This window comes from Homo sapiens, chromosome 1 (genome assembly GCF_000001405.40).
Source record: "Homo sapiens chromosome 1, GRCh38.p14 Primary Assembly".
NCBI lineage: Eukaryota > Metazoa > Chordata > Mammalia > Primates > Hominidae > Homo > Homo sapiens.
Genome location: NC_000001.11, coordinates 222,914,209 through 222,937,738, shown reverse-complemented (window position 1 = coordinate 222,937,738; position 23,530 = coordinate 222,914,209). Strand labels below are relative to the sequence as shown.

The window sequence follows — 23,530 nt, the reverse complement described above, 5'->3', positions numbered from 1 at the left end:
AATGCATTTCCTGCTGTTCATGAATATAACATGCCAATATCAACAAATTCAAGCTTCTAATCTCATATCCCCTATTTTACATTTTTAGCCAGCATTTTAATGTCCAGAATGATTTAGCAATTTTGGGGCTACAAGGTCTTTGGCCAAAAACCATCTTTCGATTAAATTTTAAAATATACATTTCATAGGATTACTATGAGAATGTAAAAATGTTTTGAAAACCAGAATGGGCTATATAACACGAGAGTGTTAATACCCTTGTATATATAACACTATGTATGTATACATATATGAATACTCTTGTATAATACATAACGCAAGTAAATTAATATATTGAAGTATAGAGAGGGGCAGGGCGCAGTGGCTCACGCCTGTAATCCCAGCACTTTGGGAGGCTGAGGCGGGTGGATCACGAGGTCAGGAGATCGAGACCATCCTGGCTAACACGGTGAAACCTCGTCTCTACTAAAAATACAAAGAAATTAGCCGAGCGTGGTGGCGGGTGCCTGTAGTCCGAGCGACTCAGGAGGCTGAGGCAGGAGAATGGCGTGAACCCAGGAGGCGGACCTTGCAGTGAGCCGAGATCACGCCACTGCACTCCAGCCTGGGCGACAGAGCAAGACTCCGTCTCAAAATATATATATATAAACTGTAATATATTAAATAATATATTATATATTGCATATTATATATAATATATTATATAATATGTAATATATAATATATAATATTCTATATTATATAATATTATATATATTATAAAATATTATTTATAAATAATATAATATGTAATATATAATATATATTACATATTATATAATATATAATATATTATATATAAATAATATATTATATATATCATATATATGATATATAAATTATATATCATATATATGATATATATAATTTATATATATTATATATAATTTATATATATAATATATTATATATATTATATATGATATATATAATTTTTATATATCATATATATGATATATAATTTTTATATATCATATATATGATATATAATATATATGATATATATCATATATTTTATATATTATATATACCTCATATATATGAGAGATATATATATCTCATATATATGAGAGATATATATATCTCATATATATGAGAGATATATATCTCTCATATATATGATATATATTATATATAAATCTCATATATATATATATAGAGAGAGAGAGAGACATTTCCATCATACTGAAATGTAAAGAGAAAAGTGTCATCAGAGTTCATATGATTAGATGGTTCAAAATAATGACATCCAACTCCTGTTTGGAACTCAGGAAATATACAACTATAAAATAAATGGAAAAATAATGCTTCAGACAAAAAGTTGCATCACATTGAAAATGCTATCAGGATTATGATAATTTCATTTGTCAAGAGACAATCACATATCACCTAAGGACGGGGATATGTCCAGAGACATGCATCATCGGGTGATTTCACCATTGTGTGGTCATCACAGTGTACTTACATAAACCTAGATGCTGTAGCCACAGCTAGGCTATATGGCATGGTCTATTGCTCCTAGGCTACAAACCTATACAGCATGTTACTGTACTAAATACTGTAGACAACTGTAATGCAGGTATTTGTCTACCACACATATCTAAACATGAATAATAAAAAATAATGATAAACACATCTAAACATAAAAAAGGTAAGGTGTTGCATTCCAGTGTCACCATGGCTAGGCCATAGGAATTTTTCATCTCCATTATAATCTTATGGGACCAACATGGTATATGTGGTCTGTCACTGACCAAAATGTCTTTATGTGGCACATGACTGTATCATACACCAAAATTAATGACACACAATTTGTACAAAGGATGCAATCAAACTAGATGGCTCCCAGAATACAAATAGCGTTAAGAAAACCTCAGCAGCTACTTGGAATTGGCGGTCAGAACTGCTAGTGTGGCCAGAAAACTGCCAAGGTAAAATCTAAATGTACTGTTGAAGAGAATACACAGACCTGTCCCAATTACCACAGTAACCACTTAGCAAAGCCTCACTATCCGTAACAAACACAGGGCTCATATAGCCTGAAGGAACACCATTTTCATCCCCATCAACTGTTAAAATTGTACACCTCTTGGCTATTTCCAAAGCACTTTCTCACAAATGATCTCACTTGAGTTGATCCTCCTAATAGCCCTCTGGAAAAACAGGGGTGGCAGGCATTACCACTCCATTTTGCTAGGAGAAAACAACATAGAGATTCTAAGTAAGGTGCTCAAAGTCACATACTGATGACAAATGGTGAAGCTAGGAAGCATGATGCCAAGGTCTTGAGAGCTTTCTGATAAACTGTATTCTGTACACTCAGATGATGTATTTTAGAATAACTCTTTGCTTCACCAGATTCCTAATACCAAACTTAAGAATAAATGGCAAGACTGGATCACCAACAAGATCCCTTGTTGTAGCCAACCACCTTTTTCAGAAGAGTCATGCTCCCTAGAGCAGTTTCAGTAGGTAAATACAAAACACTAAACCAGTGCTTCCAAATACAAGGATCACCTAGAGATGCAGTTAGAATAAAGATTTGATACAGTACATCAGGGGTGGAGCAACAAGCCTCCAACAACATGTCCATACTGCTGATACCTAGAACACATTTTGCGTAGCAAGAGAAAACCACAAACTAGGTGGGGAGACTACAAGAGAATTATGCCTCAGTTATGGCAAGATATGCACAATTAAAGCAGAATGAAGAAAAATAAGTAGGGAAATGATAACAGTTGACAGAAATAAAGGCCCATTTTTCTTTTTAAGGCAAAGAAATGTAACACATTTAACAACAGAGGTTCTAATTGATAATCAAGTTTAATTATGGCTTGTATCATGACTCCCAAACTGTTTTTTGTGCATGCAAATAACAGCTGTTAAGATTTTGATCTTTTTAGTGCAACTCATATAAATGGACTGAAGCACCCTGCCTAGTTAACTGAGATACATTTGTTTCCCTCTCAAGTGGCACTAGGTATTAAAAGATGGGTATATAAAGAGACCTTAAGTCTTTCTTCACATCAGGTATCTTTCTTCACATCAGGTATAAAGGCAGTCTGGGGATACCTGTATCCATTATTTACCAAACTTGTTTTAATATGAAATGGTTCCTCCACAGTTGCTTCCTGCTTATCCTAAAATGATGGACTAATTTCTGATTACTGGTACCTCGTTGGCCTGCTAATATTTAGTGTTATGGCCAGAGAAATAAATGGCTGCTCTAAATGCCAACAGAAATTGATAAAGAACTATAGTGGGGCTACGCAGAAGCCAAATCAGGCAAGTATTGTCTCTACAAATATTTTTCCCTTCAAAGGGCTATTAAAATTTTTTTTAATCATCTCACTATGTCAAGCCCCTTTTTTCACAATACCTCTGTGAATTTATTATTAAACCCATTACAGAGAAAACTGAGAATCAAAAATATTAAAGTAGCTAATCCAAATTGCATGCTTTAATCTCAGACCAGTATGACTCTAAAGGTAAGGCTTTTCCACTACCTCAAGATGCCTCTAGAGCAATGCCAAGTCCAACTAGCTTTTATAGGACCACAAGAGGCTACTGATGTAAAATTCTGTCTGAAGGTCCACATGAAAAATAGCCTATGAATTCGATATTTCCCAAGATAGTTTTAAAAGGTACAATTCAGCATTCAAGAGCGCCAGAGACATATTTCACTAAATTAAGGAAAGGTGTTATCCATCCATATATCATATTATGCAAACTTAAAAAAGCAAGACAATGGATTGATCTTTGTTGTCATATAGTATATTGACTATTTAAGAATAATGTAATTGTGACCTGACAGCAAAATCTGTATCTTTAATGAAAGAATCAGACACTTTTAAGGAACTAGAAAGGATGGTCTTAAATAAAGAAATATAATCTTCTTCCCTCCTGAGACAAATTACATTTTCTTATTTTTAAGTTTGTAAACTTTCTACTATTAAACTCTCCTTCATGAGAATACTTATAAATAGCTTCCCCAAATCACTTGTAAACATTTTATATATTGCAAAGGCCTATACAAAAATAAGGTGTTAATTCTAGTATTCCCCTTAAGCATAAACTATAATAAGTTGAAAGCCATTTTCCCAAAGAAACAAACATTATATATTTGAAGATCTATACCACTAAATATTTCATAAGAGCCTACTAGGTATTAGTTAGCTCTCTGCCAACTAGGAGAAAGCGAACTGAGTTCCAGGAAATATGAAAATGAAGGTTAGCATTCTTTTACAGTGAGAACATACTGTTCTTATTATTCAATTTATGGGTAGTTTCAACTTATGATAAGCACCACCTTTGAAAATGAAATACGCCTAACATTTTTAGATAACCTCTATTAATATGATTACATACATGATATATATTGACAGAGGAACTAAGATATATGGATACACTGTAAATGTTTTGTTTCAATATTCATGGTATTCACAAACAACTTAATGATACAGAAGAAAAATTAAAGTTTCCAGATAAAGTTTCCCCCTAGAGTTACAACAAAAAATATGAATGTAAAATAACCTTAACGATATTGCAGTATATCTGCCATAGCAAATCTGAAAGCCCTACCTTTGGAAAGCAGTATTACTGCTAGAAATGAGTTAGGTTGTAAAAGCAGAAATTTTCATATGTAGAGGTGAGTGATAGAAATTTCAGGGTTGTAGAAACATCAATTTCATTTTTCTCATTTTGTTTTACATCCAATGTACCTTTGGTCTATGTGGGAACAGAAATGTGGGTATAAAATGAAGTTTATCTCTTTCAATCTCAGGTAAATGATATCAGTGATATCCTTCATTTAGCATAAACACTTATCTTCCTAAATACATATTTCAAGAGCACTCTCACAATATTGCAATTATCAAAGCACTTTTCAGAGATCTCTTTTCCAGGTTCATCCACAAAAATTATCTTTCCATGTAATATTTACCACTTCTCTCCACACTCGTGTTATAAGTACTGTGCCCATAAGCATCAATGCTGGAAAGAAAGAGGTAGGGAAGGCTTCTCATAGCTTTGCGCTCCTCTTTCAGATGAGTTTAAATTCCATTAAGCTGCACTAATTTCTTTTGAACCCTAAGTTTGGAGAATTATGTGAAATTGTATAACCAAAAATATACAAAATAAAACTAGAGAAACTTTCTATAATCAGGGATGTCAAACAATGGTCACTTTAAAAAAATTCTACAAAGTTCTCCTATATAAGTAGTTATCTAACCCCAAAACTAGCCAAAACATTTAATTAGACTCTGCTACAAGTCTTAAGGTATGCATTAAATATGAATATTAATAAAATTACAAGTCTATCACAGCAGTCTCATCTCTGGCTGCACATTAGAATCACTTTGGTAATACTAAAAAAATTATGATAAAAGGGTCCTGGCCCCAGAGGTTGAGGTTCTGATTTAATTCATATTGTAGTGAAGTGTGGACATTAGCATTTTTTAAAGCATCCTGGGTGATTTTAACATGCAGTCAGAGCTGAGAGCCACTGATTTATACTTTATATAATTAATGCTGATCAATCTATAAGAGCAAGCAACTGCCACTCAAAATATTCAACAGTCTGAAAATATTGCTTGAAATGCAGAATATTGCTGCATATTAGAAAACAGTTGGACCTGGTACTCTAAGTTTAAACTATCTTTACTTTTTTTTATTGCTCTTGTTACAATGAAAAGAGATTTCATCTGCAGTACTTCTTAAGCTGGAAGGGTGGGGAGAGAAAGCCTTGATAAGATATTAGCTCAAGCAAGACAACAGTGCAGACTTTGCGTGGAACAATGTTGTGGAAATGTGAAACACCTTGCCATATAGCCTTTATTATTTATTGATCTTTTGAAGAAAATTTGGGAAGTAGCTAATTTGACTAATGAGTTTATTTAACACTCAAGAAAAAGTTCATCCTCAATGTCTGGTCAGTCTCTAAAATGAAGGCTCAAGATCCTCTAATAAAAGAGCATGTTCCCTAAAGTTCCATGCCAGGAAAAAAAAAAAAAAAAGATTCCTGGTGGCATTTTAAGCATCTTAAACTTTCCAATTCTAGGGTTAGACAGCCTGCAGATAGCAGGACTGTTATTTAGCCTCACATCCCCACCAAATAAGAATTACAAGATGGTTTGTTAATAAACAGGATCCTTAAGATGTGATAGGTGTGTCTTTAGGCCATGAGATTTCATTTGAAACTATTTTGTCTCAACTAAAATCACAAAATGGGCGGCTTTACAACTGAGCAATCTATCTGTATCACTATAGCTCTTCCCCAGTAGAAACAGGATCATATTACCGAGCTTAACAAATGTTGAACACATCACAAGCATGTCTAAAAGATACCATGGATGTTTAATACTTCACACATGTCAAAACCTCAAAACTTAGCAGCCCAAAGGAAAAAAAAAAAACATCACTGAGGTAAATCAAACTAAGAAAATTTTACTCCCACACATTGTTAGGCAAAAGAATGTGAGAGAATTTTAAAAATGTCCTTCATAAAGCCAAAAACTGAGATCAATCACCATAAAGCACTTAAAAGTTGTTTGATTTAGATGGTAGTGTGTTGTTTTTTAATACCACACTTAGAATTATCTAAACTTTTCCCACAAATGTTTAGTATCTAATACCAGGCCCCACTCCCTGCTGTTTTGTGAAGTTTGAGAAGCAGCAAATCAAATTTCCTAGAACAGCTCCCCAAATGGGTTCTTCCCTGCAGAGTCCAGCAAATAATGTCCTATGAGTATCCTTTAGTCTACTGAGCAACTTGGGAAACATCACTCAAGGTATTTGTATAAAACACAGTTAAAGAGAACTCTGAGATTTGCTTCAAGCTTAGAAGAACATCAAACTTATAAAGACTTTATTCTTACTTGAATTGAATCAGTAAATTAAGTCTTAATAAGGGCCTGGGTGCAACTTTTATAAATCTTTCTCTATTCCTTAAATTATTACTATAAATGCTTATGAATTCTGCTGTTTGCTTTCTTGTATATATTAGATGAACTGAAATTACATTTACTATTGTGTGGGATTCTTGTTTGCTTACAAAAATAATTAAATCACATTTTTCAGTTAAATGTCCTTATTTAGCAATCATTTTGGTAAGCACCTACTATCTTCCTTATACAGTTTTCTTGGAATCTAAATATGAGCCTGTAATACATAAGCCTGTTTAATACTGATTAAAATAAGAGAATAGAAATTAAGATGGAGAGAACAAAAAGCCACCACCTTCTCCAAGTCTAGCTTTTCTAATTTTTTTTAGTTGCTCTGTCTTATATTTTTTCCAAAAGGCTGACAGGCTAAGGAGCTCATATGTCTTGATCCTAAACAACTCAGTTTTGCTTCCTGTGTCAGAATGTAATCAGGAATTGTATTTTTTCAAAAATAGGAAATGTTCATATCATCTGTATGTCAAGGCTGTCCATCATCCACACTGAGTTATAAGAATCATACAGCAAGAATGCTCAGATCCAGTCCCAGAACTCAAAGCAGTTAGAACAGAAGGTAAAGAAGTGATGCATAGCAAACACTGAAAAGCAGATTTCCCCAAAAGGCTCCACTGGTTCAATATAAACTGCAAGGCAAGTGAGACTAGATTTAAATTTTGGATGAATCCACTTTATAATACATATTTCCCAGACTGAATTAAGGTAAACATGTATTTTCTAAACTACTTTGTAGGTCAATCATTTCAGACACTTAAAACATTACACATTTTTTCATAATCAATGCAAATAGTTCATGATCACAAGTCTAAAACTGAGGTCTAAGATGTGAGCTATATGAAGCATAGAAGATACATAAAAATATCTTTTTTAATACTAAAAAGTCCTAAATAAAGTAAAATCAATAAAATATCCCAATATTTGATACGTTGGCAATGAAAGCAATCTAAGATAATCTATTGGAGATGCAAGACTAAAAAATACATGAAAGAATGCAAAATGTTTTAACATTTTAGAAAGTAGAAATGTGTCGCCAGATATTAAAACCATGGGAAGCAGAAAACCCACTACCTGCAAGTGAAACACTCATAAATTTAGAGCTTATTTACACAGTTTAGTGATTTCCCAGCCAACAAAGGGAACTGTAATTTTCTTAATTATAAATATTATGATCTAAAATAACCTTCTTGTGAGTAAAAAGGACACATTTCCTTCTTCTTCGTTCAACAAGAATACCTATTTGTAAAATTTTTTTAACAAATTGTAAAGTATGTTTTCTATTTCTTGCATTATCATTGAATAAAGGCATTTATGGTCAGTGATGTGCATGAAATATCTCAGTTTTCACTAAATTTCTCTGTTTAATTTTTTAATGTATATTTTACACCAAACATAAACATATTTCACATTAAACTAATTTGAATTTTTCCACCAGTTGCAAATAAATTATCCATTCTCATTTTAAGCAAAAGTGAATACAGCAAATATATTTTGAATTGTACTTTTAAGTAGTAAATCCAATCATATGCAGTCACTATTGTAGTTACCATGTAATGCATGAAACATTTAAACAACTAAAATATAGCTTGAAGGCCTGTACCAAGCTGTGTATCTGAAATGAACTCTGATAAGAATTACTTGCTGTTGAAGTTTAGTTCACAAGAGGGTATCTTCACCAAACTACTCTCTTTATAGGAGGGAAGATGCTAATAATTTTCTATTTTCTTATAATATTTAATTCACAAAAGTGACTAATGTGATTCCTACAACTCTACATTTATTTTTCTATCACCTGGTAATGGCAAGCACATATTTTGAAAATTTTCTGTTTTAGATAGTAGTTAAATAAGAATCTCAAAGTGTAAAACAACAAACTTCCTTAAAGCTTAGGTTTCCTTCCAACTTCACAAAGACATGACATTTTAACAAACTTAAGAAATGGCTGGCCTTACCTTACTGCGCTAGACTACAATTTAAATAAACTTCACAAGATTTTAATGTGTTAAAATGCCAAATGCCGTTCAAAGTTTACACTGAAAAAAAAACAAAACAGTGAGCTGGAATTTTAAATACAATCCTAGAAACAAAGTTCAGTTTTTAAATACATTCTCCTAAAATAACAAATTCACACACATTTCTCACACACATATTCACACAGCAAGAGAAAATGTATTACCTTTATGTTAAAAGAGGGAACTTCTCTGGCTCAGTTTGGTGCAAATGATTGCAGTAGCAACAGCGGCAACTGACTGCAGGATCACAGCACAGCAGAAAGCAATGAGTTGGCAGGCGCAGCTCCACAGAGCGGCAGGACAGACTGAATGACAAGCACATGCAGATTGCTTTGAATTAGGCATGTTAGGGGCTGGAACTTTCAGTGTTTGCTCTCCAATAGGACAGGAGAGTTTTTCTCCTACTTAACCCCTTGGGGCAAGGTCTTAATAATGGTAACAGCTGGCATACAGAGGGGCTTGATCTGAGCACAAGGTCAGCAAGCCAGGATATGAAGGTGACATGTAATTTCTAGCCTTTTCCTGCTTCCACAGGGAAACTGCATGAAGGACTGTTTTTAGTTATAACTTCCTTTGATCTTTTGGATTTTAAGTTACTTAGTAGATTAAAGCCATGTTAGCTGATATTATTTGCTTGCTTAGCCTGACTTAAGTGTTACAGATTGAGTTTTCTAACACACAGTGCTACTACATTTAAAATAACACAAATAAACACCAATCTGCATTTATTTCCAAGTTCCAGGGATTCTTGTGTTCTTTCACAAAATGGCTCAAGATCCTACTTTTAGGACAGAAAGTTCATGGTTTTAAAAAGAGGTAGAATCTTCTTTTAAAATGTTAGAGTAGTTTTAAGTGTTTTTCTTCAATTTTCCAAACAAAAACAGCAGTTTGTTAAATAAATTTGACACTGCTTTTTATAAACATATGGCCCTCATGATGCCAGTATTTAAAATCCCACAACCACAACATAAAAGTCTCTTAAATACTACGAACAAATGCTTTAAATTTACAAATGACATCCCTTAGCAAATAAGTTATAATTTATTGAAACCGTGAAATCTAACTCTTCATGACTTTGGTAATAAAAATATGTATGCAATTCTTGTAGCAGGATGTACTAACTATATGAGGACAGTAGTTTCAACAATTTCAAAAGCATAAACAAAGAAAAAAGATAAAATTGGACTTCATCAAAATAAACTTTTGAAGATCAAAAGACATTATCAAGAAAATGAAAACACAGAATGGGAGAAAATATTTGCACGTCATATATCTAAGAGTCTAGTATTCAGAATATATATTTAAAAGCTCTTACAACTCAACAATAAAAGGACAAATAATCCAATTTAAAAGAGGTAAAGTGTTTGAATAGACACATCTCTAAAGAAGAAATACAAATGGCCAATATGCACATGAAAAGATGTTCAACGTCATTAGTGATTTAGGGAAATACAAATCGAAACCACTTATAAGTGGTATCTTATTAGATACCACTTCACATCCACCATTCTGTTTCAAACAAACAGAAAATAACAAGTGTTGTCAAGGACATGGAGAAATTGGAATCCTTAAACACTGCTAGCGGGAATGTAACACGCTTTAGCTTCTGCAAAAAAAAAAAAAAATAGCTTGGTAATTCCTCAAAATATTGAACATAGAACTACCATATGACCCAGCAACTACACTCCCAGTACAGTTGATCCTCATTATTTGTGGATTCTGTATTTGCAAATATGATTATTCACTATAAATTATTTGTAACCCCCAAATAATCCTCATGGTGCTTTCACAGTCATTCAGACATGTGAATTGGCAGAGCGGTGAAAAACGTGAGTCACTCAAACAAGACTACCCTCTTGTGTTTGGCTCTCATACTGTAAACAAGTCTCCCTTTTGCGGTCGATTTAGTGCCAGGTTTTTCACATTTGTGCTTTTTTTTTGGTGAGTTCACTGTTTCAAATAGCCCCCAAGTGTAATGCTGAAGTGCTGCCTACTCTAAGTGCAAGAAGGCTGTGACAGGCCTTGTCACACACAGAAAATATACCTGGTTAGGTAAGCCGCTTTGTTCAGGCATGAGTTATGGCGCTGTTAGGCATGCACTCAATGTTAATGAATCAGCAATAAATATATCTTTAAAAAGAAACACACATAAAACAAGGTTATATATTGATCAACTGATGAAAATGTGACCAGAGTCTTACAGGAACCTAATCCTGTATTTCTCCTAGAACCAGTAATTCAGTATTCACTAATTCAGTGTTTGCAGTGACTTCAGGAACAAAACTACCACAAATAATGAGAACTGACTGTATATACCAGACAGAAAATATGTTCATACAAAAACCTGTACATGAATATTCATAGTGCCTTATTCATAACTGCCAAAAGTAAAAACAACCTAAATATCCATTAACTGATGAGTGGATAAACAACATATGTACATCTATACAATGGAATATTATTCAGCCATAAAAATAATGAAGCACTGATACATGCTACAACATGGATGAACCTTGAAAACACTGCGTTAAGTGAAAGAAACAAAAGGCCACATATTTTATGATTCCATTTATATGAAATATCCAGCAGAGGCAAATCCATAGAGACAAAATGTAGGTTAGTGGTTGCTGGGGGCTGAGGGGTGGAGACAGAGGATGGGGAGTGACTGCTAATAGGTATGGAGTTTATTTTTGGATGGTGAAAATGTTATAGAATTAGATAATGGTGATGTTTGCACAGTCCTGTGAATACACTAAAAACCACTGAAATGTTTACTTTAAAATGGTGAATTTTTTCGGATGTGACTTATATCCCAATTTCAAAAATAAGGAAGGTATAAAGTTCCAGTCATTAGACCAGTGGTTCTTAACTTGAGTGTGCATGAGGATTCCCTGGAGGGCTGATGAAAACAGAGATTCCTGAGTCCCATCCCCCAGAATTCTGATTCTGAAGGTCTGGGGTAGGGCTTGAGAATTTGCTTTTCTAGTAAGTCCTCAGGATGCTGCTGCTGCTGCTGTTCTGGGACCCACATTTTGAGAACCACTGTATGTTTGAGCTCCTAGAGGGTAGGAAAGGTAACTTTCATCTCTGTATCTCCTAATTCACCTAAAACAGAGCCAATCTTGGAAGGAAAAGGACAGGGAAAAGGAAGAGTGAAATATTTACTTGAGGAAATATATTAAAGGAGTCAATCCCTAAAATCTTAGGGTATGCTGATTTCATGTCATATGTATGCCAAATGCTGTAATACCAAAAATTCCCATGACAAAATGGAATTAAAGAATTAAAATAAAAATGAAGGTATTTTAACACTCTTTGATCATCTGAACAGTATTTTGGTTCACTTTATTAAAGCAGCTAATCCTATTTCACTGTGCTTTTCCTTTCAAGAAATGCAAACAAAGGTTCTAGAGTTGTTGATCCTATAAAGAAATCCCTTAAATTAAATATAGTGTCACAAAAACCAAAGACCTGTATTCTCTAACTCAGAAACTTATAAATTCTTATTTATATTTTTATCAAAATTACAGATTTGTATGTCTAATCACTTCATTTAAACATTTGGGGTCCATGTAAAAATAGACAAGTTAAAGTACATTTTTGGTATTGTCACATGGGACACATAATTATTTTATAAATAAATATTATCCCCAATTACTTCAATATGTTTCTCAATATATTATTCAGAGTGAAAAGAAAAGTACTAGTGACCTTACGATGTTCTAATATTTTCTGAAAACAGTATCCTTTTTGTTGTAGATCATACTATTTAGGTATCTTTCTTCATTATTAGGAAGACAAGGGCATGGGGGAGGGAAAAAGAGACTAGAGCCTGCAGGAGAGGCACAACACTTGGTACTTTTAGAAAAGTGATAAAACAGCTGCTGATAAACTCTTTCCCAGCTGCACCTAGTCAAAAATGCAATTCCGGATTCTGTTACATTTATTAACATTTAAAAGTCTTGTCTATTTATCTTTTTTCTTAGCATTAAGTGTCAAACAGTTATGAACAAGTAAACTGTGGTACATTGTAGATACTGCTTCAGCAAGATTTTTCTTTCAGTATGGTCAAATTAATAGTTTAGTAATTTGGAAGTACAAGTTCAGAAAAACTAATCATACCAAAGTTCTGAAGATAATATTCTATATTGGATTTTGATGTTTCCAGAGTACAAATAGTTCCATACCCACTGAAAACTTCAGACCAGAGCATTATGCTGCCCAAGTCATAGCCCAGTGCAGGGAATCACTGAAGACTTGAAGTTAGTCTCAGCTCTACCACTCACTGGCTATGTAACCTTGAACTCATCACTGAATCAAGAGGTTACAGTCTCCTTATCTACAAAATCCAAACACTAGATGAGATGATCTCATAGGTCCCTGCTGGCTCTGAATTCAGTTTTTATGAATTTGGATATCACTGCAAATAGATAAGATAAATCCCAATTTTACTACTCAAACCTGGATTATTTAAGAAAAGACCATGCATTCAAAGTTGAATTAGCAAGTCTGGAGCAAAGACAATATTGCAAGCAAATTGCAGGAAAACAAAAAAAATTCAAGGGATGCTGAAATTCCTCCCCAACAATTTGGAAATATGTACATCTGTCTTATATATTCCTCTTACCCAACGACAGACATTTCTTCTTTCTTATCTCATTTCCTGTTGAAAATTCTACCTCTAAAATCTACAATTTTTACAACAGAAAATTTTATGGCCTTGCCGGTCTTCCATAGTCTGACATATTCACCCTTATGACCTCGTGGCTCTAGAGTCTTTATCCATGTCCTTTCCTATTTTTACTTGCTTTGTGCTTAGTTAAGAGCTCATCGTCAGCATTTATTTACTTCACCAGCATTCCAGCCTTTCAAAGAGCTCCACTAAACTTGCTCTCCCTGCCCTTCTTTTTTTCCTTTCTCTCTTAGATTTAGAAATGTTACCGAAAAAAGTCACCAGACAAGGAAGCAGAGACCTAAAACAAATGCACACTCTCAACTCCAGAGGGCTTATAATGCGGCTGTGATTCATCTCATCTATCATAGATTCTCCACTGGAAATCTCCACAAGCATGGCTGGAAATCTTTCTCATGCTCCCTACCTTAACCTTCTCAGCAAATGATGCCACCTATTTTATGGGAAAGAATGAAACTATTTGACTATGAGTTCCTTTAAACACTACTGCCTGTACTTCAAACTTTTTCTGGAACTTGTCCCTTATCTCTCAGTGTCCAACCCTTTTTCCTGCTATTAATTACTGTATTTATCCACTGTATCTTTGCTCCCCAATAAGGTAGCCACAAGCCACATGTGGTGACTTAATTTTAAATTGATTCATATTAAATGAAATTTAAAAATCTCAGTGTTCCAGTTGCACAAGGCGTCACATTTCAAGTGCTCAAGAGTCATATGCAGTTCACGGCTTCTGAATTGGGCAGTGCAAATAGAGAATATTGTCATCACTACAGACAGTCTTACTGGACACAGGTACTCTCAATCTTGACCACCATGTCTCTTTACTCTGTCTCACTCTGCCTCCCCAAGTCCATCTTCATTTTTCCATCTTTGTCAAATTATTACTTACAAAAAATATTTAGTTTTCCCCTAGCCTGAAAAATTCCTTCCCTTGGCCTGCTAGTCCTCAGGCTACTTACCTATCTTTTCCTTTCCTTTGCCAGACAATACTCAAGTTTTAACCCCATCTCGTTCCTTCACTTCCTACAATCTTAACTACCATCTAATAAAACTGTTTCTTCAAAAATGAAACCCAGTGGTCCTTTCTCAATATTCATTTTCTTTACATTTCTTCATTTACCAACTTTGTTGGTAAATACTCTTTTCTCTTTACTTAGTTTCCATTATCCTAACATTCTCTATCTCTTTAACCTCTATTCCATTTTCTTGGCAGATCTTCTTAATTCTGTTATTCTAAATCTTGAGCAATATCCAAGGGTCTTTTCCTTTGAACTTTCTGCTTTATGTCTCCTGCCTATATTGTCACACTCCAATTTCTATTATAAGTTCCATTTCTGCAGCTTCTACTCTCTAAGGACATTTCAATGTATATATCCTGCCAGCAGCTCAAACTCAATTTAAAATACAAATGATCTTATCATCCTCAAACAACTTCTTGATTTTCCTACTTCTGCGCACCCTTTCAGTCATTTAAGCCCAAAATTTTCACTTAAATATGTATTTATTGAACACCAGATCTGTGCTGCATCCTGAGCTAGGGCAGGAGTCATCTTTGACCTTTACACCCTGTATACCCTTGTTCATTCATTCCCAAGTCCTAGCCATTGTCACATATACCCATCCTTTCCATTTCCTCTGCTACTTTCTTAGATTAACTTTCCCTTGAATTACTACAACAGCCTAATAGATGTGACCCTATCTATGGTCTCCTACCTTTTCTACCTTATCTAAGCAACATAGAGCTTCTCGATACATCATATAAGAGATAGATCTGATCAAGCTGCTCTTCAGTCCAAAAAAACACTCATGGCTCCCCCACTAGTTTAAACATCTTAGCTGGCACACAAGATTCTCCATTATCTGGGCTCTTTCCCCTCCCACTCACTGCCCTTGCCAAACAGAATTTGCTTTACTCCAAACAAGCTTTCACACACACCCTCACACCCTCAGTGCTTGTGCTAGTCTCTCTACCAGCAATGGCCTTTGTTCACATTTCCAACTTCCATAATCCCATCCATTCTTCACAACACACAGCAAACAACATGAAACCTTCTCTGATTACCTAAGCCAGAAATTCTCTCTTTCTATTCTAAGTTACATACATGACCTGAGATCCCTCATGGTACTTAGCACATGTCTTTTTTTATTGTGGTCATTTATATATCTCTTTTACCCTCTTAATCTATATGTAAAGGCACAGGTTCTATTATAATCATTTTTATACCCCTTAAGAAGGGATATAAAGTATATTATACCATGTACTAGGTCAAATATTTATACTTGACAAATGTTTATTGAACAATTGACATTTTATAACTTGTTATTACATATATCCTTTATTAAGCAGAATACAGTATTGAAATGTAGTCTGTAAATTAATATTCAGCATACAAAATCCTATTTTACTGCTGATTTATATGGGCCCCACAATATGTTACACTATTCTCAGCTTTTAAATTCTGAATACTAAACTGCTACTGAATAATAAGGAATGACAGTAATTAGCTTTCACCCTTTTCTCAGTAGAGGTTGCTCCAGAAGCTAACATGCAAGCATATTCTTGGGTAGTTTTTATAATTTTATTTTTTTGTTTTGAAGGTAGAATTTTCCCATGGCATTGACAGAAATATTTTTAAACAAGGAAAAAAAAATAAAGAGTTTTCACTTATAGTGAGTCATTAAGTATAAGTCTGTAGCTTAATTGCCAATTACTTTTTTTCTTTTTTGTTTTTTGAGATGGAGTCTCACTCTTTAGCCCAAGCTGGAATGCAGTGGCATGATCACAGCTCACTGCAACCTCCACCTCCAGGGCTCAAGTGATTCTCGTGCCTCAGCCTCCCGAGTAGCTGGGACTACAGGCATGCACCACATCCGGCTAATTTTTGTATTTTTAGTAGAGACAGGGTGTTTCACCATGTTGCCCAGGGTGGTCTCGAACTCCTGAGCTCAGGAGATCTGCCCGCCTTGGCCTCCCAAAGTGCTGGGATTACAGGCGTGAGCCACTGTGCCCGGCCCAATTAATCTTATAGTAGCAAATATGATTTCTGTGATAAAGTGTCTTAGAAATAAGTGAATCTGGAAAATCTTAGTTTTTATTTATTATGATCTTTGCTTCATTTGATTATAGACTAGAAAACCGTATGCATTTTATCACTATACAGAAAGCATTTTGGTCATCTAGAATGAAATTTACTTAATATTAATTTATATACTATCAAAAATTTTAATAGTGATCAGAAACTGGGGTACATATTTTAAAGCAAAAACCATAGAGATCATTAAATTTCAGAGAAGACGTAGTTTTTCATTTTTCTGTGAAGAAAAAAGTCTGACTAATGCTAAAAAATAGGCAAAATTCCAACCCTCCTTAACGTAACCAAAAAATTACTATAAAGAAAAGTTTTTAAATGTGAAAACTAACTCAAGCAGGTTAGTTTATTGCGGATTTCACACTGGAATTCAAGGGAACATTTTGTCTTTAACAAGAGTTTTTCTCCCACACAAAGTATAGTGTTATGTTTTAGAGGACAGAAGGCTCATATTTGATAGTTTTATATCAAAAACAAGCTGAATCACTTCAGCCATAACAAAATAAGTAGACTGTAGATCATCTAAATATATAATCTGTGCTGCACTATGATTTAAAAGCAAATTACAATAAATCCATGGGCTCTGGAGAGTTTCCAAAATATTTTTGGTTTGTGATACAGCATTTCAAAATGTAATATTTTACTTTTATGATAGAAACTCTTGGCAGGAGATTTACTCCTTGAATGAAGACCACTATGTCTTGAAGAGTCTAATCAGAACATTCTCTTTAACAGTTTCAGTTGTATTTTGTTCCCAAACTCTAAATGAATCTACATGCATGTGGTATGCATAGATTGAGAGGTTATAACTAATACACTGAAATTTTCTGTAAGACATCAAACATTTATAGAGAAGGTTACCTTTACTGTATGTCATGAAATAAAAATACATGCAAACTAATTTTCCAAAAGTTAGACTCCGTAGGAATATAAATATCACCTGCATACAAACACCTGTCATCATTGCTAAAGGCTTAGATTAAGTATAACTTAGATTACAGCAACATTAAGAAAATGACACATCACATTCCCAAAAATAAAATGAAGTTGTATGGAAAAAGGAAAATGAAAATTCAAATCCCATTTTATTGAAACTTTCTGTAATATGTGGTAATATTTTTGGCAAGGAAAGAACCTTAAGCTACCCAAGCTCTAACGTAGAAAACATTAGGGCTAGTAGGGTTAGATATTTCACTAATGTAGAGGGAGTTGTTTTATATGTTGAAAACACGTGCATTAGTTATTCAGAAGTTCAAACAGTTCAAAATTATGTCATGCTATATCTAGCTTCAGAAATTTGTTTATATGAAATAAAATGCTGTGGTTTGCCACAGTTACTACGGTTACCACAGGACTGAACGAAGGGGGACAGACGCAGAAATGAAAACTTAAAACAAAAGCAACTGTTTTAAAGAAGAGATCAGGGGAAGAAGAGGGCTCCCTGCTTCTAGTGAGCAAAGGCAGCAGCCCTGAGCTTCTACAGCCCTTCATATTTACTGGGTAGACAGAGCAGGGAGGAGCAGATAACGATTGGTCAGCTGTTTGATTGATCACAGGTTCACATTATTGCTAACAGGCTTCAATGTGCCTAATCACAAGAAACACTGCGCTCGGGGCGTGACTTCCCTCAGCATTCCTTCTGGGCGGCAGATGCAGTTTGTCAGTTTGCCAACATTCTGCATTTATGAAAAGTTTGCTGTTTACTCATATAGCCTCCAGTGGTATACTAAGTTGATCACGATCCCCACTCTTTCGGCCTGCACCATCTCTCCCTTTGTTTTTTAATTAATTAAGAAAGGCAATTGCAGGCTGTGCAGCCCTTAATTGCCGGTTGGTGGTTCGTTCAGTCTTCACATTCAAATTCAACTGGCTTATGGCTCCTACTGAGGGAACCAAGCCGGTGGTTGGGATCCATGGCTCCCTCCAGTCTCCAGTTCCGTGGTTGCACACATCTTGAGGGCACCCACACGGTTTGTACATTTCCTATAAAAACACAAGCATACCCTCATACCCACATTAGTAAATCAACCCAAACAAAAGCAAAGGCTTTTGTGGCTGCAGCCAGGAGGCATGCCGTTGCTGAAGCATCTGCTCCACAAGCTGTATCTCAGCTTCTGCCTCTTTGGTTAATTACCCCGGGGTAAAACTTTCCATTGATAACAAGAGGCAGGCTCTTTCTGATTAACAGAAGGCACAGAGAAAACAAATCAAGGTTTATTCTTCTCGTGCAATAGCACAGTAAAAAAATCAATCCTCAAGATCTATCACCATGAGAGACCCATCTCTTGCTCCCATATCCATAAGCCCACACAACTTCTTTTCTTCAATCTGCACTGCACAAGTGGGTCTACTAGATACTATGGGTTGTGATAAACTTCCCATGTAGTTGTACTTCCAAATCCCTCGATTCCCTCATCTCTCCTTTCATGGAGAAGGGTGCAATTTACAGGGAATAAGCAACAGTTGAGCAATATATTTTCCCAGTTCAAAAACCCAAAGATCTTGTGACAATACCACTACCTGAATTTCTCCTTCACAATCAAAATCAACAACTCCTGGGACTATAGTAATGCCCTATAAGTTAAGATGACTTGTGCCCAAAATTAATCCCATGTATCCTGTTGGCAAAGGTCCCCAAATACCAGTGGGAATCTTAGTGGGTTTGTTTCCTCCAATTAACGTAACCAGTTCTCTGACTGGGAAATCCAATACTGCGCTTCCAGGTGTTCCTGGGGAGAGGGAATCAATATGCCTCTGGAGACCCACCCCTGAAACAGAATTGTGGCCTGGATGGGGAATGTCCTCAATGTTTGAGGTGCCCGGGTCCAGGCCCCCTTCTCATTTCCCAACAGGGAGGTGCCGTTTTGATGACATTTTGAATGGCATTGATTAGCACAATGATTTATTTCACTTATTGCAATGAGGGCAAAGTCCTGGCATTTTTTCTGTTGAGAGGGGAACCGTGTTATAAGATCCCTTCTGCCCAGAGGTCTGACAGCATTCTTTTTTGAAATGTCCAATTTTTCTACACTTATGACATTTTCCCACTTTAGTCCCCTTGGATCAACTACCAAATAGGCCATTGCTTGAACCAACATTGTAGAGCAATGAAGCTCAGTTCCCATATCTTGACAAGCTCTGAGAAAACCTCCCAAGTTTTTTGTACATCTCACAGGTGCCAGTGCACATTTACAGTCCACGTTTGCAATCTCAAAAGCCAAAGTTAAAGTTAGCCTTCCTGTAGCCATAAAAGAAGACCGTACAAGGCAATTTTCATCCTCCCTCTTCTGTTCACCACCCTTGATAGGTGCTGTGGGTGGTGCAAAAAATTCTCTCGAATTTTGAAATAATGACAAAAGGACAATATGAACCAAATTCCAAACAGAAAAGAGAAAAGAAATAGCCAAATTCTTCCCCATGTTACCCTGATTCAAAAACTTCCCATTCTCTTTACCTCTTTAGGGCACTGACCTTATATTGCTGCTGGCAGACTTGTAAAGGGGTTTCTTGTTCGTCTGGTCAGTCTCACTTTCTCTGTTCCAGCATACCTTCCTCATTCAAGTCCCTATAGGACCCTATCTGTCCCTGTCTGTCCCTCCCTGTCCCTGCAAGTCTCTGCTAGTCTCTATCTGTCCCTGTTCGCCCCTGTTTGGGTGCCACTTGCCGCAGTTTGCCACAGTTACTACGGTTACCACAGGACTGAATGAAGGGGGGACAAATGCAGAAATGAAAACTTAAAAGAAACTGTTTTAAAGAAGAAGTCCGGGGAAGAAGAAGAGAGCTCCTTGCTTCTAGTGAGCAAAGGCAGCAGCCCTCAGCTTCTACAGCCCTTCATATTTACTGGGTAGAAGGAGCAGAGAGAAGCAGATAACGATTGGTCAGCTGCTTGATTGATCACAGGTTCACATTATTGCTAACAGGCTTCAAATGTGCCTAATCACAAGAAACACTGCGCTTGGGGCGTGAATTCCCTCAGCATTCCTTCTGGGCGGCAGATGCAGTTTGTCAGTTTGCCAACATTCTGCATTTATGAGAACAGTTTGCTGTTTACTCTTATAACCTCCAATGGTATACTGAGTTGATCACAACCCTCACTCTTTCAGCCTGAAACAATAAAATTCTGCAAGATGGTTGTGAAAAGATAAGAAATAAGGTAATGACAAATGGGCAGGAGTAAGGATATTTATTTATATCAGAATTTAAGAGTATAAGAAATATGCTAGAATATTTTACTTAGGTCTCTTAAAAAACTCTTGAAAATATACCAACACAGACGTGTTGTTAGGCTCAAAACTTAGGCCTGGCTGAAAGAATATATTTATAAATGACATACATTAGAAACTACAATTAAGTCATAGAAGGCAAAAGGGTATCCTAACATATTTAAGGACAGCATGTCACTAAGCTCAGCAAATGCCATTTCAAAAACACTGAAACAAAACTCATTACAATTGATTGGCATGCTCCACAGTCAGGCTCTTCAAGACCAAGGTATCTTTCGCATATTTATTGCAAACTCCAATGCTGAAAGCCTAGGCAAGTCCTAGCTGACCATTACCATCCCAAATGGTAGACTTTACTGGGCTGTTAGCCAGAATGAACCTCCTGGGTGTGGATCAGCAAATGCTCCAGTTCGTATTGTGAAGTGTAAACACAAGAAGAGAGCTGTCCCAATGCTCATATCAAGCGACCATATATTTGCCATAAAGTATGCTACTATGTTGGGGCACACCCAAAAGACTCAGAATGCTGTAACTGGGGCTAGATAAAACCTGTAGCAGTCATCAGAGGCACCTTTAACCTTAAATATTTTAGAGAAGAAAAATCCACAGGTTAACCTGTTCCAGGTACTCAAGCCAGGATCATTACACTTTTGACAAAAATGAAGAGGGTAAATATTTAAAGTGAATTCTCATATTTCTATTTCTATACAACAACTCACTACCTAATCTTATAATGAAAATTGCCATGACAAATAGGTTATAAGTATTGGTTCAGGCACTGAATTTGCAAAGAAACAGCAAAGGAGATGGGCATTCTAATACTTTGGTTACAAAGCAACAATAACAACAAAAAGTAAGCGTACACAATTATTGATAGCAGGAAAGTATTTTATTTACTAAGCAGGTCATGGTATCAGAGTTCTGAGTTATGTTAGCAACAAGATAACCTGTGCCTTAAAAAGAAACAGAAGAGACATTTATCACCATGCTGTTAGTAATATTCAGTATTAGACCTTGGCAAAGATCTGTCACCGACCATGCCTAATACTAACAAGAGAATGAAAGATGAAAGAAAAGGTTGAGGAGCTGGAAAAATGAAAACTAGTAAGTTATTTGTTGCATTCCTAAATTAAGGCATCTGCCCTGGTTAATCACCCAACACTATTTGCTTTCCTGATATCTAGGTCAATGACCAAGAATTCTAATGACCTAAGTATGGACTCTACTTAATATCTTCAAGTCACATTGTCTTACTCATACAGTCTACACAGCCCTCAATCACACTGAAGGAATGTTATACACTCCTCCTTCCCATCCCTATGGGATATTAGGCAATGCAGCATTCATTCCTTCCTTTGCCAAGTGTAATGCCTTGGTAATACACATCTACACCCTGCTGGCTTTGCAGGGAGTTAGTCAAATCCAGCATCAAGCGTCAAGCTCAGATCCCCTATATAGGAACAAATGGAATTGTCATAAATCTCTAAAATAATCCCTAATCTTGCATAAAGCTAAAATGTACCATTTATTTAGATCAAAGAAGCATAACTTTTGGAAACAATTGCTTTTCCCAATCTCTGACTGTATTTGCAATGATGGTTCCTGTTGATACTGATACACTGACAACAGCGACTCAGACAGTGTCCAGGACAACCACAGCTGAACTCAGATTTTAGAAAGCCAGGAGCATATGAAAAATGCTCAGTCATTGTTATTATGATCTTTTTTTCCCTTTCCTTCCTTCCTTTTTAATGAATGAATGAATGACAGAGTCTTGCTCTGACAACCAAGCTGGACTGCAGTGGTACAATCATGGCTCACTGCAGCCTCAAACTCCTGGGCTCAACCAATCCTCCTGCCTCAGCTTCCTGAATACCTGGTACTACAGGGGCAGGCTACCGTCCCCGGCTAATTATTTTAATTTTAATTTTTAGTAGAGATGAGGTCATGCTGTGTTGCCCAGGCTGGTCTCGAACTTCTTGGGCTCAAGAGATCCTCCTGCCTTGGCCTCTCAGATTGCTGGGATTATAGGTGTGAGCCACCACACCTGGCCTATGATCTTAACTTATTTACACCTTTTGACATTGCCAAAAACTAAGTTTTACAAGATCTCTCACCATATCTCTGGGGATGGGAGGAGGAAGGGAAGGATAATGGTCTCATATTCATAATAGTATTTGCAGTGCCTATTCTCACAGTGATAAATGACTATAACCTTTTCAAGAGGATGAGTGAAAGAAAGAGGGAGGCAAGAAGAATGAAAAAGGAGGTAAGGTCCTGGTAACACATCATCTTGTTTCTAAAGACAAAGCCCCTTGAACTGTTCCAAAGAAAACTTATAATCCAAATTAATAACAATGTACAGACATCACCAGGTCACACAAAAAAATTTTTTCTGAACCCAACTTCAAAGCATAAAATGAATATCCCTTTGGTGTAATATATTTTGGAAGGCAATTAAATTTGTATATAGTAATACACATTTATTTCTGGATTTAAGTACTATATTTGAAAAGTCCAA

The 23,530-nt window shown here is 35.7% G+C and overlaps 1 protein-coding gene across 12 annotated transcripts in view; it reads right to left on the bottom strand.

Annotated features, from left to right (window-relative positions):
- The window catches only part of DISP1 (dispatched RND transporter family member 1), a 190,957-nt gene that overhangs the window by 68,257 nt on the left and 99,170 nt on the right, over positions 1-23,530 (bottom strand). For 2 of the 12 annotated variants that reach the window (NM_032890.5, NM_001377229.1), the window contains one exon: positions 9,169-9,309. The exons of 8 other annotated variants lie outside the window; for them this stretch is intronic. The gene's annotated coding sequence lies outside the window, so the exon portion shown is untranslated. Of the gene's footprint in view, positions 1-8,944; positions 9,026-9,168; positions 9,316-23,530 lie in introns of those variants that run through there. 2 more of the 12 variants (XM_006711592.3, NM_001369594.1) reach the window with 2 other exon arrangements.